This window comes from Homo sapiens, chromosome 8 (genome assembly GCF_000001405.40).
Source record: "Homo sapiens chromosome 8, GRCh38.p14 Primary Assembly".
Classification (NCBI taxonomy): Eukaryota; Metazoa; Chordata; class Mammalia; order Primates; family Hominidae; genus Homo; species Homo sapiens.
This window is the reverse complement of record NC_000008.11, coordinates 116,288,562-116,309,289: the sequence shown is the minus strand read 5'-3', so window position 1 is coordinate 116,309,289 and position 20,728 is coordinate 116,288,562. Positions and strand designations below refer to the sequence as shown.

The following is a 20,728-nucleotide window of genomic DNA, read 5'->3' as shown; positions in this document are numbered from 1 at the left end:
TATTATGGCAATAAAACATCTTAGACAGATGGAAATGTATACTTTACAATAAAAAATCATGCGGATATAGCTATAGGCATTTCTAAGCAGTGACATTGTGGAAAAGGATTTGACATCATCTTGGAAGGAAAGTGGACTTGGATCAACAGAGGTAATAGAAAGGATTTCAGTGAACATTTGAGCAATGAAAAGTAGAATAATCATGACCTATAAAGGGAACTATATGAAACTTATTTGACATACAAATAATATTTGTTTAGGGGAAGTTTAAGTCAGGCAATACCTAAGTTTGGATCAGACTGTGGAAGTCACTGAATACAAAGATGAGCTGAGCCTTGAAATTCAGAGAGAGAAAGCAGAACTTGTGCAAAATCCAGTACTGTAAAAGTGGTAAATCATCTAAAGAAATAATTATTAGACAATGCTAAGTGATTTAATGTTGTAGAGACCATATTTGAACAATGAGAAGCCTGTCATGTGTGATATATAAAAATGAAAGTTATTATGGACATTTTCAAAGTTTGTGCTCCCCTGTAAACCCCAGATTCTTCATCTTTCTGGAGTTATAATAATCTCCCACCTGTGTGGTCTTCTGCATTTTTTTCTTCATTGTTATCAATTCTCTATATTCATCTGGTCACCAAATTTTCATGTGTGTCTTTGAGTTGGGTTTTATGTTGCTGAAAAATACTTGATGTTGCTGTCTTCAGGAAATAAATCCAGTGTGGCAAGGGAACAAATACTCTCAAGACCAGGAACAACAAGACCTTTTTTGGCCACTCTATTGATTACACATGACCTGAACCAGCTCTTTATTCTTCAATCTTTTCATCTCTCAACTGGGGAGAGCAGCCACATTAATACTAGATAATGTTGAAAAACATTGACTCTTTCTGATAAAGGAGGATTATTAGAAATCATTGACTAAAATCTCAAAACTTTGTATTGCTATTTCACTTTAAGTAGCACGGTGCCATACGTTGTATTTTAATTACTAACTAGATTGCTAAATGTAGACTGTAATTTGATAAAATATCTGTAATGTAGGCAAGCTACTATAGCTAAATACCCTTTCCATTTGCTTACACATATTGTATATATACACGTGTACCATATGCACACATATGGTGACTTGCTATATGGCTGTAAGACTTGGACCTGTATTTTCAGCAGTTCCATTTGTGGAGGTTCAGAACAGTGTTTATAGTAGTAAGAAACTTTGGCAAGAATCAAAATCTACAACTTTTCTTCCTCAGCCATTTTAGTCACAGGCATTCTATTCCTGACTCTGATAATAGTCATAGTTCACGTGGATATAGTGCTTTATTGTTCCTGAAACACTGTTGCATAATTTTCACTGGGGTAGTAGAGCACTTAAGCATGAGAACAAGGCCAGTGTAACAACAGCATGTGAGCAATGGGGGTGCTTTGAGGAGATATGAGATGAGTCTATGAGCTAGGCAGCATCTAGATTGCAGGACAAGTATTTGGTAATAAGGAGTTTGGCTAGTGTAATATATGCAATGGAAAGTCACTGAAAGGTTTTAAGCAGGAGAGTGACATAAATTAATTTACATATTTAAACGTCTCTCAGGGTGCTGCATGGAAGTAAATTATAGGAGAATAAGTAAGGGTGAAAACACAGAAAGCAGTTAGGAAGCTACTAAAATAGCCCAGCTGAGAGGTGGTGGTGGCCTGGATGGGTTTATCTTGAAGCTAATGAAAGGTCCCTTGCTTACATAGACCTCTTCTTAGGCTAGGAGAAGAGCCTTAGTGATGTATTCATGGGTCATATGTCTTCGTGATATTTGCAAAAACAAGACATTTTAGCTGCTAACTGTTAAGACAGCTGTTCCTTTCTATTCTGACTCTGCTACCCACCCATGCTTCCACTTGGGTGGGGTGATAGTGGAGTGGCTGTGGGTATTTTTGGGATCCTGTCAAGGGTGAGGTGAGTCAGCCATATATCATTGTAACTATGATTTGCAAAGATGCTATGGAACAGTTCCATTAAACAAAGAAAGTGAACTTACTTGATAATCTTTACATTTACTGGAGAGCCAAAGAAATATAGATTGGGAAGTAATGAGATATAAAACAAAGATATAAAACATTCAGAAGTGAATTATGTAACCCCCAAATTTTCAAATTTCACTAATTCATTAAGAGGAAGAGATAAATTTTGAGAAGTACAGTCAATCCTTTTATCTGTGGGTTTTGCATCCACAGATTTACCAATCACAGATCAAAAATATTCAGGGAGAAAAACCAACAATAAAAATTAATACAACAGGCTGGGCGCGGTGGCTCACGCCTGTAATCCCAGCACTTTGGGAGGCCGAGGCGGGCGGATCACAAGGTCAGGAGATCGAGACCATCTTGGCTAACATGGTGAAACCCCGTCTCTACTAAAAATACAAAAAATTAGCCGGGCGCGGTGGCGGGCACCTGTACTCCCAGCTACTCGGGAGGCTGAGGCAGGAGAATGGCGTGAACCTGGGAGGCGGAGCTTGCAGTGAGCCGAGATTGTGCCACTGCAATCCGGCCTGGGCTAAAGAGCGGGACTCTGTCTCAAAAAAAAAAAACAAAAACAAAAACAAAAACAACAAAACAAAAAAACAAAAAAACAAAAATTAATACAACAATACAATATAATAAAAATAAAACAATGTGGTATAACAATTAGTTGCATAGCATTTACATTGTATTATGTATGATAAGTAATCCAGAGACAATTTAAAGTATACAGGAGGATGTGTGTAGATTGTAGGCAAACACTATGCCATTTTATATGAGGGACTGGAGCACCCAGATTTTGGTATCTGAGGGGGGTCCTGGTTCCAATTACCAAGAGATGACTGAAACTGACAGTTCATTGATTGCTTGATAATCCAGTTAATGAAGAGGAGAAGATCATATAAACATATTCGTAAAATATTTAAATTTCTTGTTGTTTCACAAGATGAAAATAAAACTCCTAACACACCATTCTCAAGTAGAACATCAACAACAAACTGCTTAATGAGTTTTGCTGATTCAAAGAGTATTTAAGATTAGTCATTTAAATTAGTCACTAATCACCTCTGTAACTATGATTAGTCACAGAAAACTTGAAATGCTCCTAAATCTTACAGCTCATCTACGAAAGAAATGAGAAAGTAGTCTTTCCAAATTTGACAAAAATCTCTAATGTTTGCATAATACTACAATAACATGTATAGCTGAAATAAATACTTTAAGCCTTCAGTGACTGATATTGTTTGGCTCTGTGTCCCCACCCAAATCTTATCCAGAATTGTAATCCCCATGTGTCTAGGGAGGGAAGTGATTGGATTATTGGGGCGGTTTCCCCCATGCTGTTCTCATGATAGTGAGTGAATTCTCATGAGTTCTGATGGTTTTATAAATGGTAGTTTTTCCTGTACACACTGTCTCTCACCTGCCGCCATGTAAGATGTGCCTTCTTCACCTTCTGCCATGATTGTAAGTTTCCCGCGCCCTTCCAAGCCATGTAGAAATGTGAGTCAATTCAACCTCTTTCCTTTATAAATTACCTGGTCTTGGGTAGTTCTTTATAGCAGCGTGATATTAGACTAACATGGTGATTATCCTCAACTTGCCAGAAGAAAGATTGTGTTATCCATTGTCTTTATCAAAAGGTATTTTACAAAATTTTTGTCATATGAAGAGGTGATCAAAGAATATGCAGCCAAAGCATTCAGGAAAAATTATGGAGGTGTGTCAACATGTCAATTAATAAAAATGGTATATTATTTTTCTGAATTTTTGTAAAGTTTGCAGTATTTCAAAATAGCTTTAAAAATTTGTTTTCAAGCCTGTAATTTCTCTTCTCACTGTAAGTACATAGTATTTTTTAACCTAATTTTGTATTCTTAGCTTTGTATTCTTAGCCCTTTCTGTATTCTTAGATGTATTCTTAAATGTATTCTTAGCTTTTGTATTCTCAGCCCTTTCTTTAAATGTGGCCTCCCAAACTGCACAACCCTCAGGCCTCACAAAACCTAGATCTGCCCCTTAAACTTGGGTTGAGGCTGTACAGATGGAGAAACTGGACACATCTAGGGTGGATTTTGGAGGTAGAATAAATGCTTATAGGATTGTCTTATTTGAAGGGCTAGAGCCCATTTCTGAAGGGTGAATAAGTTAAAACTGAGAAACACAGTCAGTCTTCTAAAGTTATACAACTTGGAACTGGGTAACTAGGATTTGAATCCACGTGTGTGAGGCTCAGATGCCTCTGCTTATTGTCACATGCAAAGCATCATTTTCATTAGGGTGGTTCTGAAGTTTCCCTTAGACGAGGCCTACAAGGTGTTTCACATGGTGTCTGGCATAGTGTTGAGTGTTCTTGGGGTATTGTTATTATTCAGATGATAAGAGGTTTATTCTTCACATGTGCATGGTTTTTTTAAAATTGGGAAAATTTTATTTGTGCATTTGCCAATCTCTCTGCAGGAGTCAGGCCACTTTGCTGTAGGTTTCCAGTTTTTCAGGGAATAAAGGAATCTCTTCATTGCTCCTTACTTGCTACTTGTCAGCCAGCCAGCACCCAGTGCTAGGAGTGTCTGCTCACAAACAGCAGAGTCCTTTGGCTGACCGGCTTAGGAATGTCAGCAGAAACTGTACGTGCTCCAGTTGGGGTGTTGGTGGTACCCTCAGTTTTAAAAGAGATGGGAGAAGAGAGTCATATGTTTCCTAATGAGGCAAGAACAGGATTAACCTTCAGGACTCTAAAGAGGTTCTCAGATAACCTGATCTAGCTTGTTCAGAGTATATCAGGCAGATTTAAGGTGAGGAGTGAGGTGAGATGAGTCTAATTTTTATACAGTAGGAGCATTCTCGGAGTGATTTGTTTCAATGTCTGACACTTTTCTAATGCTTTTCAGATTTCTCGATTCCTTCTGTAAAACTTATTTTTATCATCCGTTAAATGAGAATAGAAACATTTTATCTCTTTGGGAACTAAAATTTCATTAATGCTTTTATTTTCTAAATGTTATCTTAATTAGTTCATACTTTATCACCCAACAAGCCCCTAATCCTCTTTTTGTTTTAAATTTTTATTTTTCATTTCAAGAGGCAAGAATTGAAGGCTTTCGGATAAACAGACACATGCTTAAATGTGAGCATGAGCTGGTTTTGCTGGGGGAAAATGTGAGCTCTAAAAACGGGGTGTTTTTCGTAATGTTCCATTCCACATCCATGTTGCAAGGACTACTGCTTCTGTTATCCCAGGCCACCACACCCTTAATTGATCATAATAAATCCTGTGGGCTCCCAGCTGCCAGTGGTTTGTCTGAAGAGATAGCAGCTACCCTTGTTAGTGTTTCATTTGCTGGTATTCTGCTTGCTGGGCTTCTGCATTAGGATAGTGCCTGATACAGATTTCAGTTGTAATTTGAATTCTGTCCTTTAATTACTCTTTCTCCACCCCCTCTTAAATAAATGTGGCATCCTCACATAAGGGCTGGAACAACTTCTTTTTCTTTCCTTCAGCAGTCCCACATCTCACTACCCAGAGTTCCATGTCATTTTGTCTCTGGGAAGTGAGACAAACCAACTGTGACTTTTTTCTTTCTGGGCCTCCCCAGTGCAGCACTAGAAATTACATAAGAGATGGGTCCATGAAAGCAAGAGGAATATTAAAAGAATTGAGAGATGATTCAGAATTAAAGTAGGATCCATAAGTGAGATTTTTTTGGACAAAACTTTATTTCTTGAGTTTCTTCTCCTGGTATAACTTTGTTTAAAACATATGAGATCAAGCAACATGGATTTTTAAAATAGCATTAAAAATTAAATATTTCTTGTTCAAATGTTATGGTAGTAAGCAAGTTATTTTAGGAATTGAATGGTGAACTTCCATTTTCAGGCTGAGAGGCCATTCGGTCTTTTTCTGGTTCAATACCAAAGAACAGTTCAATTTTTATATTGGTTCAGTACAAAAGTTCAAGACAATTCAATACAGAAATACAACTTTATTTTATATTGAAGCTTTTATGTCTTGTAACTGAAAAGAATAAATCTGGTTCTGAATTTCTAATGAAATTATGTTTTTAATTTACCCGATGCCCATCTCTAAAAATGTATACAAACACCCATACATACGTCAACATCATGTCTGTGTGCCCCTACAACTGTGTTTATATTTACAGAAACAAAATATATGGCTTTTTCCCCTTTGGTCTGATATCAGTATTTTTTTTTTTTTTTTTTAGTTACAGTTGAAGGAAAGCCCCAACAAGAACAAAAAGTCATGTCACTTTTCTTTTTTTAATGCAGTATGTGCAGACTGGCCATAGTGCTGCCTGCAGGCTCCATTCTGGTCCATGAAGAAATTAGGGAAGCCAGAGTTCTAGATCCCAGTGATAAACATCCTCCCTTTTCCTGTGATGGTCTTGGTTCAAGTGTGATCACTTTAGGTGAATGTGGAAATGACAGTAGGTAATCTTGCAGCCAATTTCTCAAGCTTTGCATCGCTTCTTCCATAGAAAACAGTAGAAGTTTTCTTTGTCACTGCTTTTCATTACATTAAATGGGTAGTGCTAGATTAATATTGTAATCTCTTAACCACAATAGGAAAATGAAGGAGTGGCCTGATTAATGCATAATTTATCATTTATTATGCCTTTGGCTCTGTCTCCCTCATCTCCCTTCTAGCAACCTCCTCAGGACAAGCTCCTCCTCCTAAATTACTGTATCCAAACATTTGAGCCTGACCTACTTATTGAAGAACATACCCAGAAATTTGATGCTGTAATTACTCCCAGAATTAGCAAAAAAAAAAAACAAAAAAAAACCCAAAAAACCCAAAGATAACTTGTTCATCCTACATCCCCTTATAGTAGCTGTTCAAAGTTTAAGCGGAGAGTAGACTTTGATGAAGTGCTAAGCCTTTTTGTTTAAATAAATAAATACATACATCTGTCCTTGCCACATCATCAGAAGCTTGATTTGGTTTCACAGTGAATGCAGCTACATGCCTCAAGTGACTGCTTTTAAACAATTAAGTCCTGACTCCACCTTAACAGTTTATTCATTAGTCACCATTGAACCTTTGTCCCTACTTGTCAGTATCTGAGAAAACATAACACTTTAGCTCTGGATGTGTACGCATTCCCTCCATCACTGGGATAATAGTTTCCTAACTCACGGCCAACCTGTCAAAATGGAAACTCCATATCATGGGTGGCGTTGAGAAATCTCATTCGAGCTATGTCTGGGTTACTCCATTTGTCCGGATGAAACAGAAAGCAGAAATCTGGTTATAAATAGTGGATTTTTTTTTTCAAATATCTGGGTATGTAACATCTTTTAGATTAGTGGTTTCCAAATTTTTAAATTATGGTCCAGTAAAAAGAAAAGAGTAAAAAATGTGAAGGGCCTCTATGGGACTGCCTGTTTGTTCTTTTGTCAAGTATAAAAGTAACAAACTGTCTCTACTTTTGCCACTATTTCGTGAAAGGAAGGGTATCTAAATACCAAAAAAGGCAGAAAAGTCATAATCTCAGATTCAAAGGAATTCTTTTAAATAAATACTTTTAGCTTTGTTGAAAATGCACTGCCTGGTTTTCTCATTTCACCGTAGACCTGTGAGAACGCTGTGCTGGAATGGCACAGGTCTGAGACGTGCTCTGGGGATATGGCTCTGTGTGCATTTGGTTGCCTGACATCTCAGCAGAGACCCTGGATGTCTGTCAGTGTAGGAGTTTTACCTACGTGTTTTTTTTTTTTCTTTCTTATCAGCACATTGGGATGGTTGCTTTATATCTCATGTGTTTCTGCCTACTGGGTGTATCCTCACGTGGATGGCTTTTAACTTCATGTTATTTCTCTGGGAAGATAACTCAACTATGCTTGTGGGCTTAGTGAAGATTACTCATTTTGAAACAGGATCAGCCTTACACTTACGTAGAGTAGGCAGTGGCTTATGTGGCATGATTTTTGAGGTGCTGAGAAAGCTTGAAAATAATTCTTCAACTCAGTTGACACACAGTCTGAAATCCAAAACATAGATCTTTAGTTTTGGGGACTCCCCTGGTGGCCCTCGTGACTCCTTTTCTCTATCTACACACTTCCCTTAAGTGATCCCCATCATTCTAAAGGCTTTCAATGCCATTGTTATGCTGACAATCTGTTATTTTTTAAATTGACACAATATTTGTACATATTAATAGAGTAATTATCCTGATTTGATCACGGACAACCTGTTTTTAAAATGGATCTGCTTTTGAATGGGGCTGGGTCGGGGTTGTTTTTATCGACAGGTCATGAGAGGTTTGCCATTGAAGGTGGTTTGTTACACAAAGTTCTCAAGAGGAAGGGGCATGCCATACGACACAGGGCCACACGCGCCACACCAGGGTTGGTCAGAAGGCAGAAGAAGCAAGAAGAAAGAATGGGCCGTAACCTTTATTGTGATTTTCATGGGAAGGAATGTGCAAGGCAGTGTAAGCAAGCTGAGCAGGTTTAGGATTAGACTGAGTAATTTCAGTGGACTCTGCACTCTAGGAGTGGTCTGTAGTTGTCTGCTATCTGGCCCTGGGTTGATAATGGCAGGGGAATATTGAGAGCGTGAAAAAGGAGATAGTTGGAGGTGTGGGCTCTGGATTAGCTGGTTTGCATGTGAAAGGTGTGCTCCACAGGGAGTCATTTGGTATCTCTAGGAATTAGCTAGCCCCAGGAGGGGCAGTCTATCCCTTGTCAGTGAGGCTCTGGAATCCAGAGCATCAAGAATACAGAAAGTAAGAAAATAGAGTTAACACACAGTCCCCCACACTAGTATCTGGCTGCCCCGACCTCCTTTTCATGCAGATTCATCTATCCAGCTGTCTACTTGGCATGGTCCCTTAGATGTTTTAGGGCATTTCAAAATTAACCTGCCATTCTGACTGGCATGACATGGTATCTCAATATGATTTTGATTTGCATTTCTCTAATATTCTCACTTATAAGTGGGAGCTGAACAACGAGAACACATGGACACAGGGAGGAGAACAACACACACTCGGGGGGCAAATGGAAGGAGAGCATCAGGATAAAGAGCTAATGCATGTGGTGCTTAATACCTAGGTGATGGGGCGATAGGATAGCGATAGGTGTGGCAAAACATCATGGCACAGTTTTACCTATGTAACACACCTGCACGTCCTGCCCTTGTATCCTGGAACTTAAAATAAAATAAAATAAAAAGTAATCTGCCTTTCAATTCTACCTCCAGAATATATCTTGTATTTATACACTGTTCCTCATAGCCATTGCCACCATGCTAGTCTAATTCAACACTTCTTATCTCATATTTAGACTTCCAGTCTTCTCAGTGTGGAGAAGACACAATGACAACTAACAATCATTAAACAATCTAAAAAAATCAACAAATGAATATAAATGCTATAGAAGTGTAAACACTATCCTATTCTTCCATTCTTCTTAATTCCCCCTCATCACTGTCCTGTAGCACAGGACATAATTTATTATGCAGTTACATGCTAGAGTAAACCTTTAATAATATTAAGTACAGCATGTCACTTCCTTACTTCAAACTCTTTAGGGTTGTAACATTTCCAACATGGGCATAATGAAACCCTCCTTCCTATCATGAGCTAGGATTCCTGCAGGATATGACAGCTGCCTAGCTTTCTAACCTCATTTCATGCCACCTTCACCCTCACTCATTATGCATCATAGCTTTTTTGAGGTTCTAGAACATTCTAACCTCTTTCCTAAGGAAGTTGGCAATTGCTGGTCGCTCTGTGAAAGTTTCCTCCTAGACTTTCTTTGTGTGTCTCCTTGTCTTATAGGTATCTGCTTAACAATCATCTCTTTAAAGAGGACTTCTCTGATCATCCTCTGTAACCACACCCCTCTGTCATGTATAACATCAAGTTTCTTTCTTTTATAATGTTTATATGGATGTCTGTTTATTCATTGTTGGTTTGTTGTTTATTGTGTCTTCTCTGCCTGAATGTAAGCTCCAGGAGGGCTGACCCTCATCTGCCTTTTTATTATTATAGTCCCATTGCCTAGTAGAGCCCCTTGCCTAGAATGGAGGTTTGATTAATGTTTCCTGGAAAAATAAATTGTTTGCACAGGCGCTCTTTTTCTCTCACAATTCTTTCAAAGTTCAAGGCACATCTCTTAAGAAGACATAAAATCATAATGAAAATTAGTTTATTAGTTTATCCCGATTGCATAAAAACAATATAATCCCAGAGAGTGGGAGGAAGAAGAATGAAAGATGGCCAGATTTATACAAAACGTATGAAGGTATGAAGAAAAACTCATGTTGAAATGTCTGTTTTGTGGGTTTTAGGTTTTTTTTTTTTTTTTTAAACTATCATATCTTGAAAATACACTGTGTACCAGGCTGTGCTAAATATTTTTAAAAATCACTTATTCATCACAATAACTATACAAAGTAGGTATTCTTCTCCTGATATTACAGATAAGGTTTATGAGGAGGATTTGTAAGATGACAAGTTTTATCTGGTTCCTAATTTAGTGTACTCCATAAAAGTAGGAGAGTGTAAGCTCTGAAGCCACAGAGTGAGCATTTTCATTTCTCACTGCACCATTATTAACTGTGTGACTTTGAATTACCTAGCCTCTTTAAAAATTGTTTTCTTGGCCAGGCACAGTAGCTTACAACTGTAATCACAACACTTTGGGAGGAAGAGGAGGGTGGATAGCTTTAGCCCTCCTTCCCAGGGGTTCGGGACCAGCCTGGGAATCATGGTGGGAGCCCTTCTCTACAAGAAAATACAAAAATTAGCTGGGTGTGGTGGTGTGCACCTGTAGTGCCAGCTACCGGAGAGGCTGACATGGGAGGATCACCTGAGCCTGGGAGGTCAAGGCTTATTTTATTTTATTTTATTTTAATTTTTTTAGTATTTATTGATCATTCTTGGGTGTTTCTCGGAGAGGGGGATTTGGCAGGGTCATAGGACAATAGTGGAGGGAAGGTCAGCAGATAAACATGTGAACAAAGGTCTCTGGTTTTCCTAGGCAGAGGGCCATGCCGCCTTCTGCAGTGTTTGTGTCCCTGGGTACTTGAGATCAGGGAGTGGTGATGACTCTTAAGGAGTATGCTGCCTTCAAGCCTCTGTTTAACAAAGCACATCTTGCACCGCCCTTAATCCATTTAACCCTTAGTGGACACAGCACATGTTTCAGAGAGCACGGGGTTGGGGGTAAGGTTATAGATTAACAGCATCCCAAGGCAGAAGAACTTTTCTTAGTACAGAACAAAATGGAGTCTCCTATGTCTACTTCTTTCTACACAGACACAGTAACAATCTGATCTCTCCTTCCCTTCCCCACATTTCCCCCTGTTCTATTCGACAAAACCACCATCGTCATCATGGCCCGTTCTCAATGAGCTGCTGGGTACACCCCCCAGACGGGGTGGCGGCCAGGCAGAGGGGCTCCTCACTTCCCAGACGGGGCGGCTGCTGGGCGGAGGGGCTCCTCACTTCTCAGAAGGGGCGGCCGGTCAGAGACGCTCCTCACCTCCCAGACGGGGTGGCGGCGGGGCAGAGACACTCCTCAGTTCCCAGACGGGGTCGCAGCCGGGCAGAGGCGCTCTTCACATCTCAGACGGGTTGGCGGGGCAGAGGCGCTCCCCACATCCCAGACGATGGGCGGCCGGGCAGAGACACTCCTCACTTCCAAGACGGGATGGTGGCCGGGAAGAGGCGCTCCTCACTTCCCAGACTGGGCGGCCGGGCAGAGGGGCTCCTCACATCCCAAACGATGGGCGGCCAGGCAGAGATGCTCCTCACTTCCTAGATGGGGTGGCGGCCAGGCAGAGGCTGCAATCTCGGCACTTTGGGAGGCCAAGGCAGGTGGCTGGGAGGTGGAGGTTGTAGGGAGCCGAGATCACGCCACTGCACTCCAGCCTGGGCAACACTGAGCACTGAGTGAGCGAGACTCCGTCTGCAATCCTGGCACCTCGGGAGGCCGAGGCTGGCAGATCACTCGCGGTCAGGAGCTGGAGACCAGCCCGGCCAACAGGGCGAAACCCCGTCTCCACCAAAAAATACGAAAACCAGTCAGGAGTGGCGGCGCGCGCCTGCAATCCCAGGTACTTGGCAGGCTGAGGCAGGAGAATCAGGCAGGGAGGTTGCAGTGAGTCGAGATGGCAGCAGTACAGTCCAGCCTCGGCTTGGCATCAGAGGGAGACCATGCAAAGAGGGAGACAGGGGAGAGGGAGCATCAGAGGGAGACCGTGCAAAGAGGGAGACAGGGGAGAGGGAGAGGGAGAGGGAGAGGGAGGCTTATTTTAAGTTCTGGGATACATGTGCCGGACGTGCAGGTTTGTTACATAGGTAAATGTGTGCCATGGTGTTTTGCTGCAACTATAATGAACACATTAATAAGAGCTAATGGATCAACCTCATTTGCAATCACATTTAAAGATAATGGCTCCTCTCAATTTCTGTTCTTTGAACTTTTTATAGCATAATTTTGGTATTAGGGTTGAAAAAGATTTCAGTTGTTTTCTCTCCTCCTACCTCCTGCCATTTTCCAGGTTACACAAAATTTCTCTTAATCATCTATTTCCTAAGTGTTTGTCCAAACTTGTTTTATGGGAACTCAAGTAATGTGGCTGCTCCTTCTCCTTTAGAAGCCAGCTCCAGTGGTCAGCAAGGATTGCCTGACGCTGTGCCTTCATTTTCTTTTTCATAATACAGTCCTAGTACTCTTAACCAACACCCTTTGTTTTTCCTTATCCAAAGTAATTCACTTCTTTCCTTCATGTTCGCGCCCTTTAGGTATTTGTAGACTGTTATCATGACCCCTCCATCTTTAATTGTCACTTAGGTTATACATATTTCGTCTTTTCATCTCTCCCCATAAGTCCATTCCCCCAGGCCTGTAATCATTTTGTTACTTTTCTTTGAGCCCTTTCCAGTTTGCTGCCTCTTTCTGGAAATAAGGCTCCTATAAATGACTGTATCACTACAAATGTATTCTCTGTAGAGGTCCTTGGAACCCCAGAGCTGCTTGGTTTGAGAAATGATACTTCACCAAGCCAACTTCACAATGAGATAGTGCATTTAAAGCACATGTTGGCTGGGCATAGTGGCTCATGCCTGTAATCCCAGCACTTTGGGAGACCGAGGCAGGCAGATCGAGAGGTCAGGGGATCGAGACCATCCTGGCTAACACGGTGAAACCCTGTCTCTACTAAAAATACAAAAAATTAGCCAGGCGTGGTGGCACGTGCCTTTAATCCCAGCTATTCTGGAGGCTGAGGCAGGAGAATTGCTTGATCCTGGGAGGTGGGGGTTGCAGTGAGCTGAGATCACACCACTGCACTCCAGTCTGAGCAACAGAGTGAGACTCCATCTCAAATAAATAAATAAATAAATAAATAAATAACAAATAAAAATAAAGCACGTGTTGTATTCTACTTTGTATTTGCTTTTGTACATGACTAATTGTCTCTCCTAGATTTCAAGTTCCTTAAGAGAAGCAATCACGCACAATTTACTTTTTTTGGATGGATAAATGCCTTAAACCTTGGCTGCATATTGGAATCACCTGCTACTCTTTAACAACTTACTGATGCCTGGCTCCCCTCCCCAGGCATTCTGAGTTAATGAATATGGGTTGTGACTTGGGTATCAGAATTTTTTAAAAACTCCCTAGATGATTCTAATGCGCAGCAAAGTTTGGGAACCACACTTTTAAAACAGGCACTTAGTAAGTATTTGGCAGGTGAATGAACAAATGAATACTGTATCTTTTCATCAATTAATACCTCCAAGTATCTCCAAGGGTAACTGTCTTCCAGCTTCCTGCTACTAAATAAGATTTATCTGTGTTTTATATTGATACTTCAAACTTTTCCAGATCGCCACTCATTGAATGAGTTTTTGTCAGAATTTCTAAAAGTCTTAGAGCAATTTTATCATGTGTCTGGCCTCTGCTTTCTGACAGCCTTCTCAGTTTAATAGAGCTCTCACATTTAAGTATCTCATTTCATACCCTTCCACATACTTGTGAATGAAATATCAGAACTGTTCTTCCCCCCTTTTTTCCATTCATGCATTGCTATAGCACTCAGAAACCCAGTGAAGACCTACTTTATCGAAATGGCTATAAGCTTTTGCAATAATTTCCTCTGGCAAATTTTAATTCAAGAGCACATGCCTATCCAGATGAAATTAGGTAATTCATATTAGATAAAATTTAAGGATGCAGTTTAGCATATTCATAAATATTGTGTCAATTCAGTAATAGATTTAAATAAATTAATAGACTATATTTTTTAGACCGGTTTTAGGTTTATAAAAAATTCAACAGAAAGTATAGAGAATCCCTATAGAGTTTTCTTTTTTCTGTCTTATCTGGAAGCTCAAGCATCATATTCAGGGAAATGTCCTTTGGATCTTCGGCTGATGCTCTAAATAGTAAGTGTTACATAGGAAAATAGTAAAGGTGACAAGAATATGAAATTGTACTGTGTTGGATTTTTAATTATAATGATTAGAAAAACAGGGTTTACCCAATGTGATTCGGAGTTTATTCTTTTTTATGTGGATCCTTCAAATATTTTCACTTTTAGCGCAATCAAAAAGAAGACAGCCAAAATGCAACTCCCACAGCAAGACCACACGAAACCAGCATTCTTATCCTAAGAAGGCTTCCTTTTAGGGATAGCCGAGTTGCTGAAAAACAGACAGGTCTCTAGAATGTGGGGCAGAGAGAGCATCACCAAAGGGGCAGCTTGTCAGAACAAGCAATTGACCTTTAGTAACTATACATTCTTGTCTTTACCACTGGAGAAATTCTTTCCTTGGGGCTTGCACAAGACTGAAAGGCCTGCAGGTAGCTCTAATTCATTATTTCTTTGTCTTCTACATCCTGCTTTTACCAAACACAGGCAGTCTGAAAAATCAAAGAAAACATATACTTACCGATTTTCCCAGCCCATCATGGTAATATGTTTGAGGTCGGAGAAAGGTCTGGGTTTTGATTAACCCCAGTAATGAACAGAAAGGAGAGAAGCAGGTCCAAAGAGATTCTCACTCAGCAGCCCATAGCACCAGAAAAATGATTTTCAGAAGTGAGGGCTCCAAGTAACCAGTTGTCCAATTACTTTCATTTTATAAAAGGGAAATAATAAAGTATGTGAGAATGACATCTTTATTAAAACTTGTGAAGGCATATTCACTAACTTTCCTGTGGCTAAAACTCTGTTTTCTTTACATTTCCATTAGTCAGCCAGGTATTCATCTACATGCCTTATCAAGCCACACAAGAGACCTGAAGCACTGTATATCTTTAGACTTAGAATATTTGTTGAATTCTTCCACCATTATGGTAAAAAGTACAGACAATGACAAAACTTTTCAAGATGCTTGCCAAAGGAAAACACCATAGTAACCTCTCAGTTGACATGTTTAATTAATGCAAAATCTGTTAATAATCAGAAAGAAACCATTCTAAAATATTTTTGTTCTAAAGGCAATAAATGAAGTACAGCAAAATCTCGAGTATTGGCAATTGGGATATGATGGTTAGCTATGTGATACTATAGGAAATTTTTGAGAAAGGACTTTTGGATAGCATTCATCTATGAAGTTATCATCTTAACAAAAGCAAGGGTGAGTTCATTAAACTTTGTTTACTAACCCAGTAAAAGCAGAAAAAGTTTATATTTCATATCATTCAAAGGGTGGTTTGGGGACTCTCTGCCTGGGTCTAGCCCAAAACCCACTGCAGTAGGGTCTCTTTTGGTGGTGTTGGAGTGGGAAGGAGCAGAAGTTGGCGTTATAAACATGATCCCTAGCTGATTCTTAGATGCCTTGGAATTAATCTGTTTACCAAACACTGAATGGGATGGGTCACAGTATGCTCTGCTCATTTTGCCTTGCTAATTGTAAATTGAATCAGAAAATGTAAATTAGAACTACAGAAAATCTGGTAGTGAATTCTCCTATGCTGAAAATTCAGCTTTAAATAATTACAGACACAAAGACTCCAAATTCTTTGCCTTTAATATTTTAGCTCTTGATCTAGCATGAATTCCAGACAATGAAAAAGGAAAAAGAATTAAAGGCAAATACTTTGGATAAAATTAATTCCCTAATGGTAAAATGGAATAGAATTAAATTCAGATCAACATTGCAGTTAAAGGTGCTTATTAATTGAAGTTTACTATAGATGCTTACATTTAAGCTAAAAATTCAGTTCTGTTATTTGAGTTCAGCTCTTTTTAGTTCCTCTCTCCCACTCTTTTATAAAGGTCTGGTTAAAAAAGTTTCAGGTATTGTTAAGGCGAAATAGCTCAATCTATTACACCTAACTGATTTTACTTTTTTCCTCTTGGAAGTGATACCACTATAGAATTTGACTGAACAAAATTCCTGCCTATTCCTGCCTCAGTGTATCATAGATAACACTAAAAATAAGAAGAATGCAGGCAAAATTACAGGGGGTTATTTATTCTCATTGAAGAGAAAAAAGATTCTAAGCAATTCAAATGTACCCAGAATGAGACTATATATTCATTTCAACCATCCAGCCATTGATTAAAACAGTTCAGAAATTTCAATTTTGAATTTTTTTGTTAAGACCAAGTGACTTTATTTGAACATTTTCCAGGATGGCAAACCTTTATAATTTGAAAGTGGCTTTGATTTGGGGGAATAACCTGATGATGTGGTCATCCATTTTAACACTTCTTTAACTGATCAAAAACTACATTGCAACTCTAAAATAATGAAACTGATTTTCCTCTATGATTCATAAATGAGTTCCAAAGGTGATTCCAAAAACAAAATTCTACTAATACTTTGAGCTTAAACAGTATTACTATGATTGACAAGGAATTTGCTGTGACAAAGGTGAAATAACCCTGGTCATGGAGTATAGGAACTCACTTAAATTGTAGCTCTGAAACTATTACCTGTGAAACTTTAAGCAGCTTACTTGCTCAAAGTTTCATTTTTTCCATTTCTAAAATGAAAATTAAAACAAGCTAAGCCATAGGTTACAGTAAGAACTAAATAAAATATGTGAGATAGTGGTTTATTAAATATAAACACAAATATGTTGTTATTGATAAGCATATTTATTTCTGAGCTGTTTGTTTTGAAGAACAGCTCCACTTGGATGAATGAGTTTTTCTGTCTTAAAAGGGTTCATATTTTGGTGGTTACTATTCAGTTACTTATTAGTAACTATGTTTATTTAAGCAAATATTACATATTCTTTAAAGTAGATTTCCAAAAATCTCCATTTGTCAGCACATTGGTCTCTCCTAGAAGATGCTGAAAAATAATAAAACAAATTTTTAAATATGGAATCTTAATTCTTCCATATTTGTTTCTATACAAGTAAATTGGAACGTTGAATTTCACTACTCAAGGCTTTGAGGAGCTAGTGTTTGTAATGAAGAACTGGTAAGTTAAGTGTGAGATATAAATATTTTTGATGAAAATACCATATTTATACCTTCATCCTAAACTTCAAAAAATAATCTTAAAAGACAAATTTTAATAATCTTAACTTTTAGTAATTATCATTTTTTTAAAGAAAATCAATCTATCCGTGTGTGATAATGGGAAAATGACATTATTAGTAATCATAATCCACAGAAAATTTTTGAGGCATTTCAGACAATTTTCTTCCCCATACATTTTTTTTATAAGTAGAGAAAATGTGGAATTGGCTGATTTAATATGAATCTTTACTACCTATTCTTTTTTGTATCACATCAAAGTTTTCAAATCCAATGAACGAAAAGAAGAAGGCCAAAAGAGGTTTGTTATCTCCCCAAGTAAAAAGCTTAGCCCTGAATAATTTTGGTGGCCTCTTTGAGATATCAAAAAGATTTTGACAATGTTAAATATAATGCTGAAAGCCTCAGTACATTCTCTTAATTCTTTCCTGTTTCATCTTGACATTACATGTCTGGTTCGGCCCTAGCTTTTGGGTAAGAGTTCAAGTGACATGGTTAAACTCTTAACCCTCAACAATGATGACTTTTCTACAAAGACACTTTGGCACCATGGTCACAAGCCCTACACATTTGATTAAGGTAATGACAAAAGCCACAGGATGGCGTGAAGGAAGACATTCAGGCTACAGGTTAGGGTAATATCATACAGTTAACAACACAACATATTTCAAATGCTCATGAATACCTTCTGAAAATTAATTCTGCATTAAATCTGTCTTTCAGCCTTGGTCACAAAACATCTTATTCTTTAGAATTCATTTTCCCCATCTTGCAGTCTCCTGTGCTTATTTCACAAGAATCAAAGTCAGAGACTCCCATGTGGAATCCATGCTTGTATCCCAAGTCAACAAAAAGTGAATCCAACATATTACTACTTATCTTTAAAGGAAGGAAACCATCATTTTAACCAGACATTTAAGGAGATATAATTTTTTTCTATCTAATCTAAAACCAGGAAAAAGGCAATGGAATGTATTGAGCTAATTTAAGAAATTACTTCAAAAATAAATAGATGGGTCAAAAAAGAGCCTGCTGTATTAAATTTTAATGCTCAATTTTCCAAATACATTCGTAGTTCTTTTTCGGGTTGAAATTTAACACACACTCACATATGTAAAATATATATTATATTTCATTAATTTTTGTTTTCTGTTTAAGATATTTTACGAGAACGGACTGTATTTTATTATCTTTTTGTCACTGGTGCCTAGCACAGTACCTTACCCAAACACACACAATAAATGCTCATTCTTTTGTTGAACTCATGTTTGTGTGAAGCTTTGAGAGGACACCAGCGAAGTTTCCCTGTCTCTGAATACCAACCTAAATACAGCATTTCCTGTCAACTCTGGGAGAGAGCTTTTTTTGTAGGACTTCGTCTGTCTACGTTTTAGTAAGTCTTGACAATGGTAGCAATGAATATCGAGTATTTAGTTTGTGCCAGGTTCTGTGCTAAGTCTCTCACCTATATTATTAATTCTTGTTAACCCTTTGAAATGTAAAGCACAGTTATTACTCCTATTATTCAGAAGAGAAAGTGAAAATTTGAATATCATGTTCAAAGTTACTCAGCTAGAAAGCTGCAGAGTCTGGGACTGTCTGTCTCCAAACTTCCTTGCAACTTAAGCATTGGCAGACACAGGATATCAGTGAGAGCCCAGCTTGCTGATAAGAAGATTAAAAAGTGCCAAAGATGTGAATCTTCACGGTTTTGTTTAAGCCACCCTGGATCTCCCCCCACTCCACAGCTGTGATGAGAGCCCACTGGGGGAAATAAACAGACTCATCTTTTCCTGGCATTGCCCTCTCCTACCTCTGGAAGCCCCATCCTGCTGCTTCTCTCCTTCAATGCTTTTTGGGCTTCTGCTCCTGGATCTTTGCTCTGCCGGCTTCATGAAGGCAGCTCCACACAGCAGTGATGCCAGACTCCCATGGTGATTAATGCTATTCTGTGGACTCCTAGAATTCTAGAAAACTTGTGTGTACCAGCTGGGGTGATTTTAATCTCTGCGAATCTAGTCTAGGTCTCTCTAGGTCTAGTGAGTGGACTCTTCCATTCTATCCATTCACTTCCGTGCCTGCTGTTTTAAAGCTGTTCTTACCTTACTTAGCTCCATAATCTCTTTACAGACATTTCTCCTCCCTCTCTTTCCATTCAAGCTTGACGCTTCTCTGAACATGTTCCTCATCATGAACATGAAGCTTCCCTTTTTCTCTTCCTGCTGATGGACAATTTAACCCCATAGCAATTTTCAGGCGTGAAACAGTTTAGATGGGACCTAGCAAGGGGTTAGTAGCACAGGCTAAGCGCTTGCCTGCATTACACAGCCGAAATTACCTGCCGTCCAGTAACTGCTTGTTTATGGAACAGCAGATACTATCTTTGCTTTTTCTAGCAGTCTCTATTTGCCAGGGCTTTCCCCAGCATCTCAGAAGTACAAATTCCTACTAGAATAAACCCTTGGAAGGGAACCCACATTTACAAACCTAATTTTTAAATGATTCAGTTTGATTGCTTGCAGTGTACATTTAAAACACAGACCTTTTGGGAAAATAAACTTCATGAATATTCACTTCTCTTTTGCAGATTCAGATGTCTCATTGAGCTGCTATGCACTTGACTTCTAGAGAAAACAAATGGAAATTAGTTGATGCATTTTGTCAGGATGGAAAAGTTCTACCTTTTTTAAAAAAAAAAGACAAAAAACTTCTTCAATGTCTCCAGCTTTCTTTATTTTTTTGTTCTTTCAGGCATTCTCCCTGCAATCAGAGGCAATTTTGAAGTGATTCTGAATTTAGATTTTCATACTCAGCAAAGCTAGATGCTATATTTTTGCATATGTGAGGTAGAATAAAAGTCTCTAAAAGTCGCCTGTGGCATACGTACTATCCCATTTAAACCTGAGGGTCAGGTCTACATGGATGATTTCTGTAGTTGTCACATGGTCCAGAGAGGTTCTGACGGGCCTTCTGAACCGTCCTCAGCCCAGTTCTGCATGGGACAGTGCCTGGCTGGGTATTGGTGGCAAGGCACTTTGTCATATCAGGGTTATTTTGTCTCTGTTCTGTAACCTGGGTTATTCTTCACATGGTTTTATTATTTTCATTTATTTTTATTTTACTTTTACCTATAAGGAATGAGATTATAATGAACACTAGGAATGAGTTTGAAGGAATCAGGAGATGTGTGGATGGTGAATACAATGAAAGTTGCCTTTTTATGTTGATAATGGG

General features: G+C 38.8%; 2 long non-coding RNA genes across 2 annotated transcripts in view; one reads left to right on the top strand and one right to left on the bottom strand.

The window, feature by feature from the left end:
• The window catches only part of LINC00536 (long intergenic non-protein coding RNA 536), a 374,549-nt gene that overhangs the window by 15,770 nt on the left and 338,051 nt on the right, over positions 1–20,728 (top strand). The gene's annotated exons all lie outside the window — the stretch shown is intronic.
• Positions 10,175–19,735, bottom strand: LOC124902005 (uncharacterized). Its single transcript, XR_007061064.1, has 2 exons — positions 19,308–19,735; positions 10,175–12,183 (listed from the first exon to the last, which is right to left on the bottom strand). It is a non-coding gene; the product is annotated as an uncharacterized LOC124902005 (long non-coding RNA).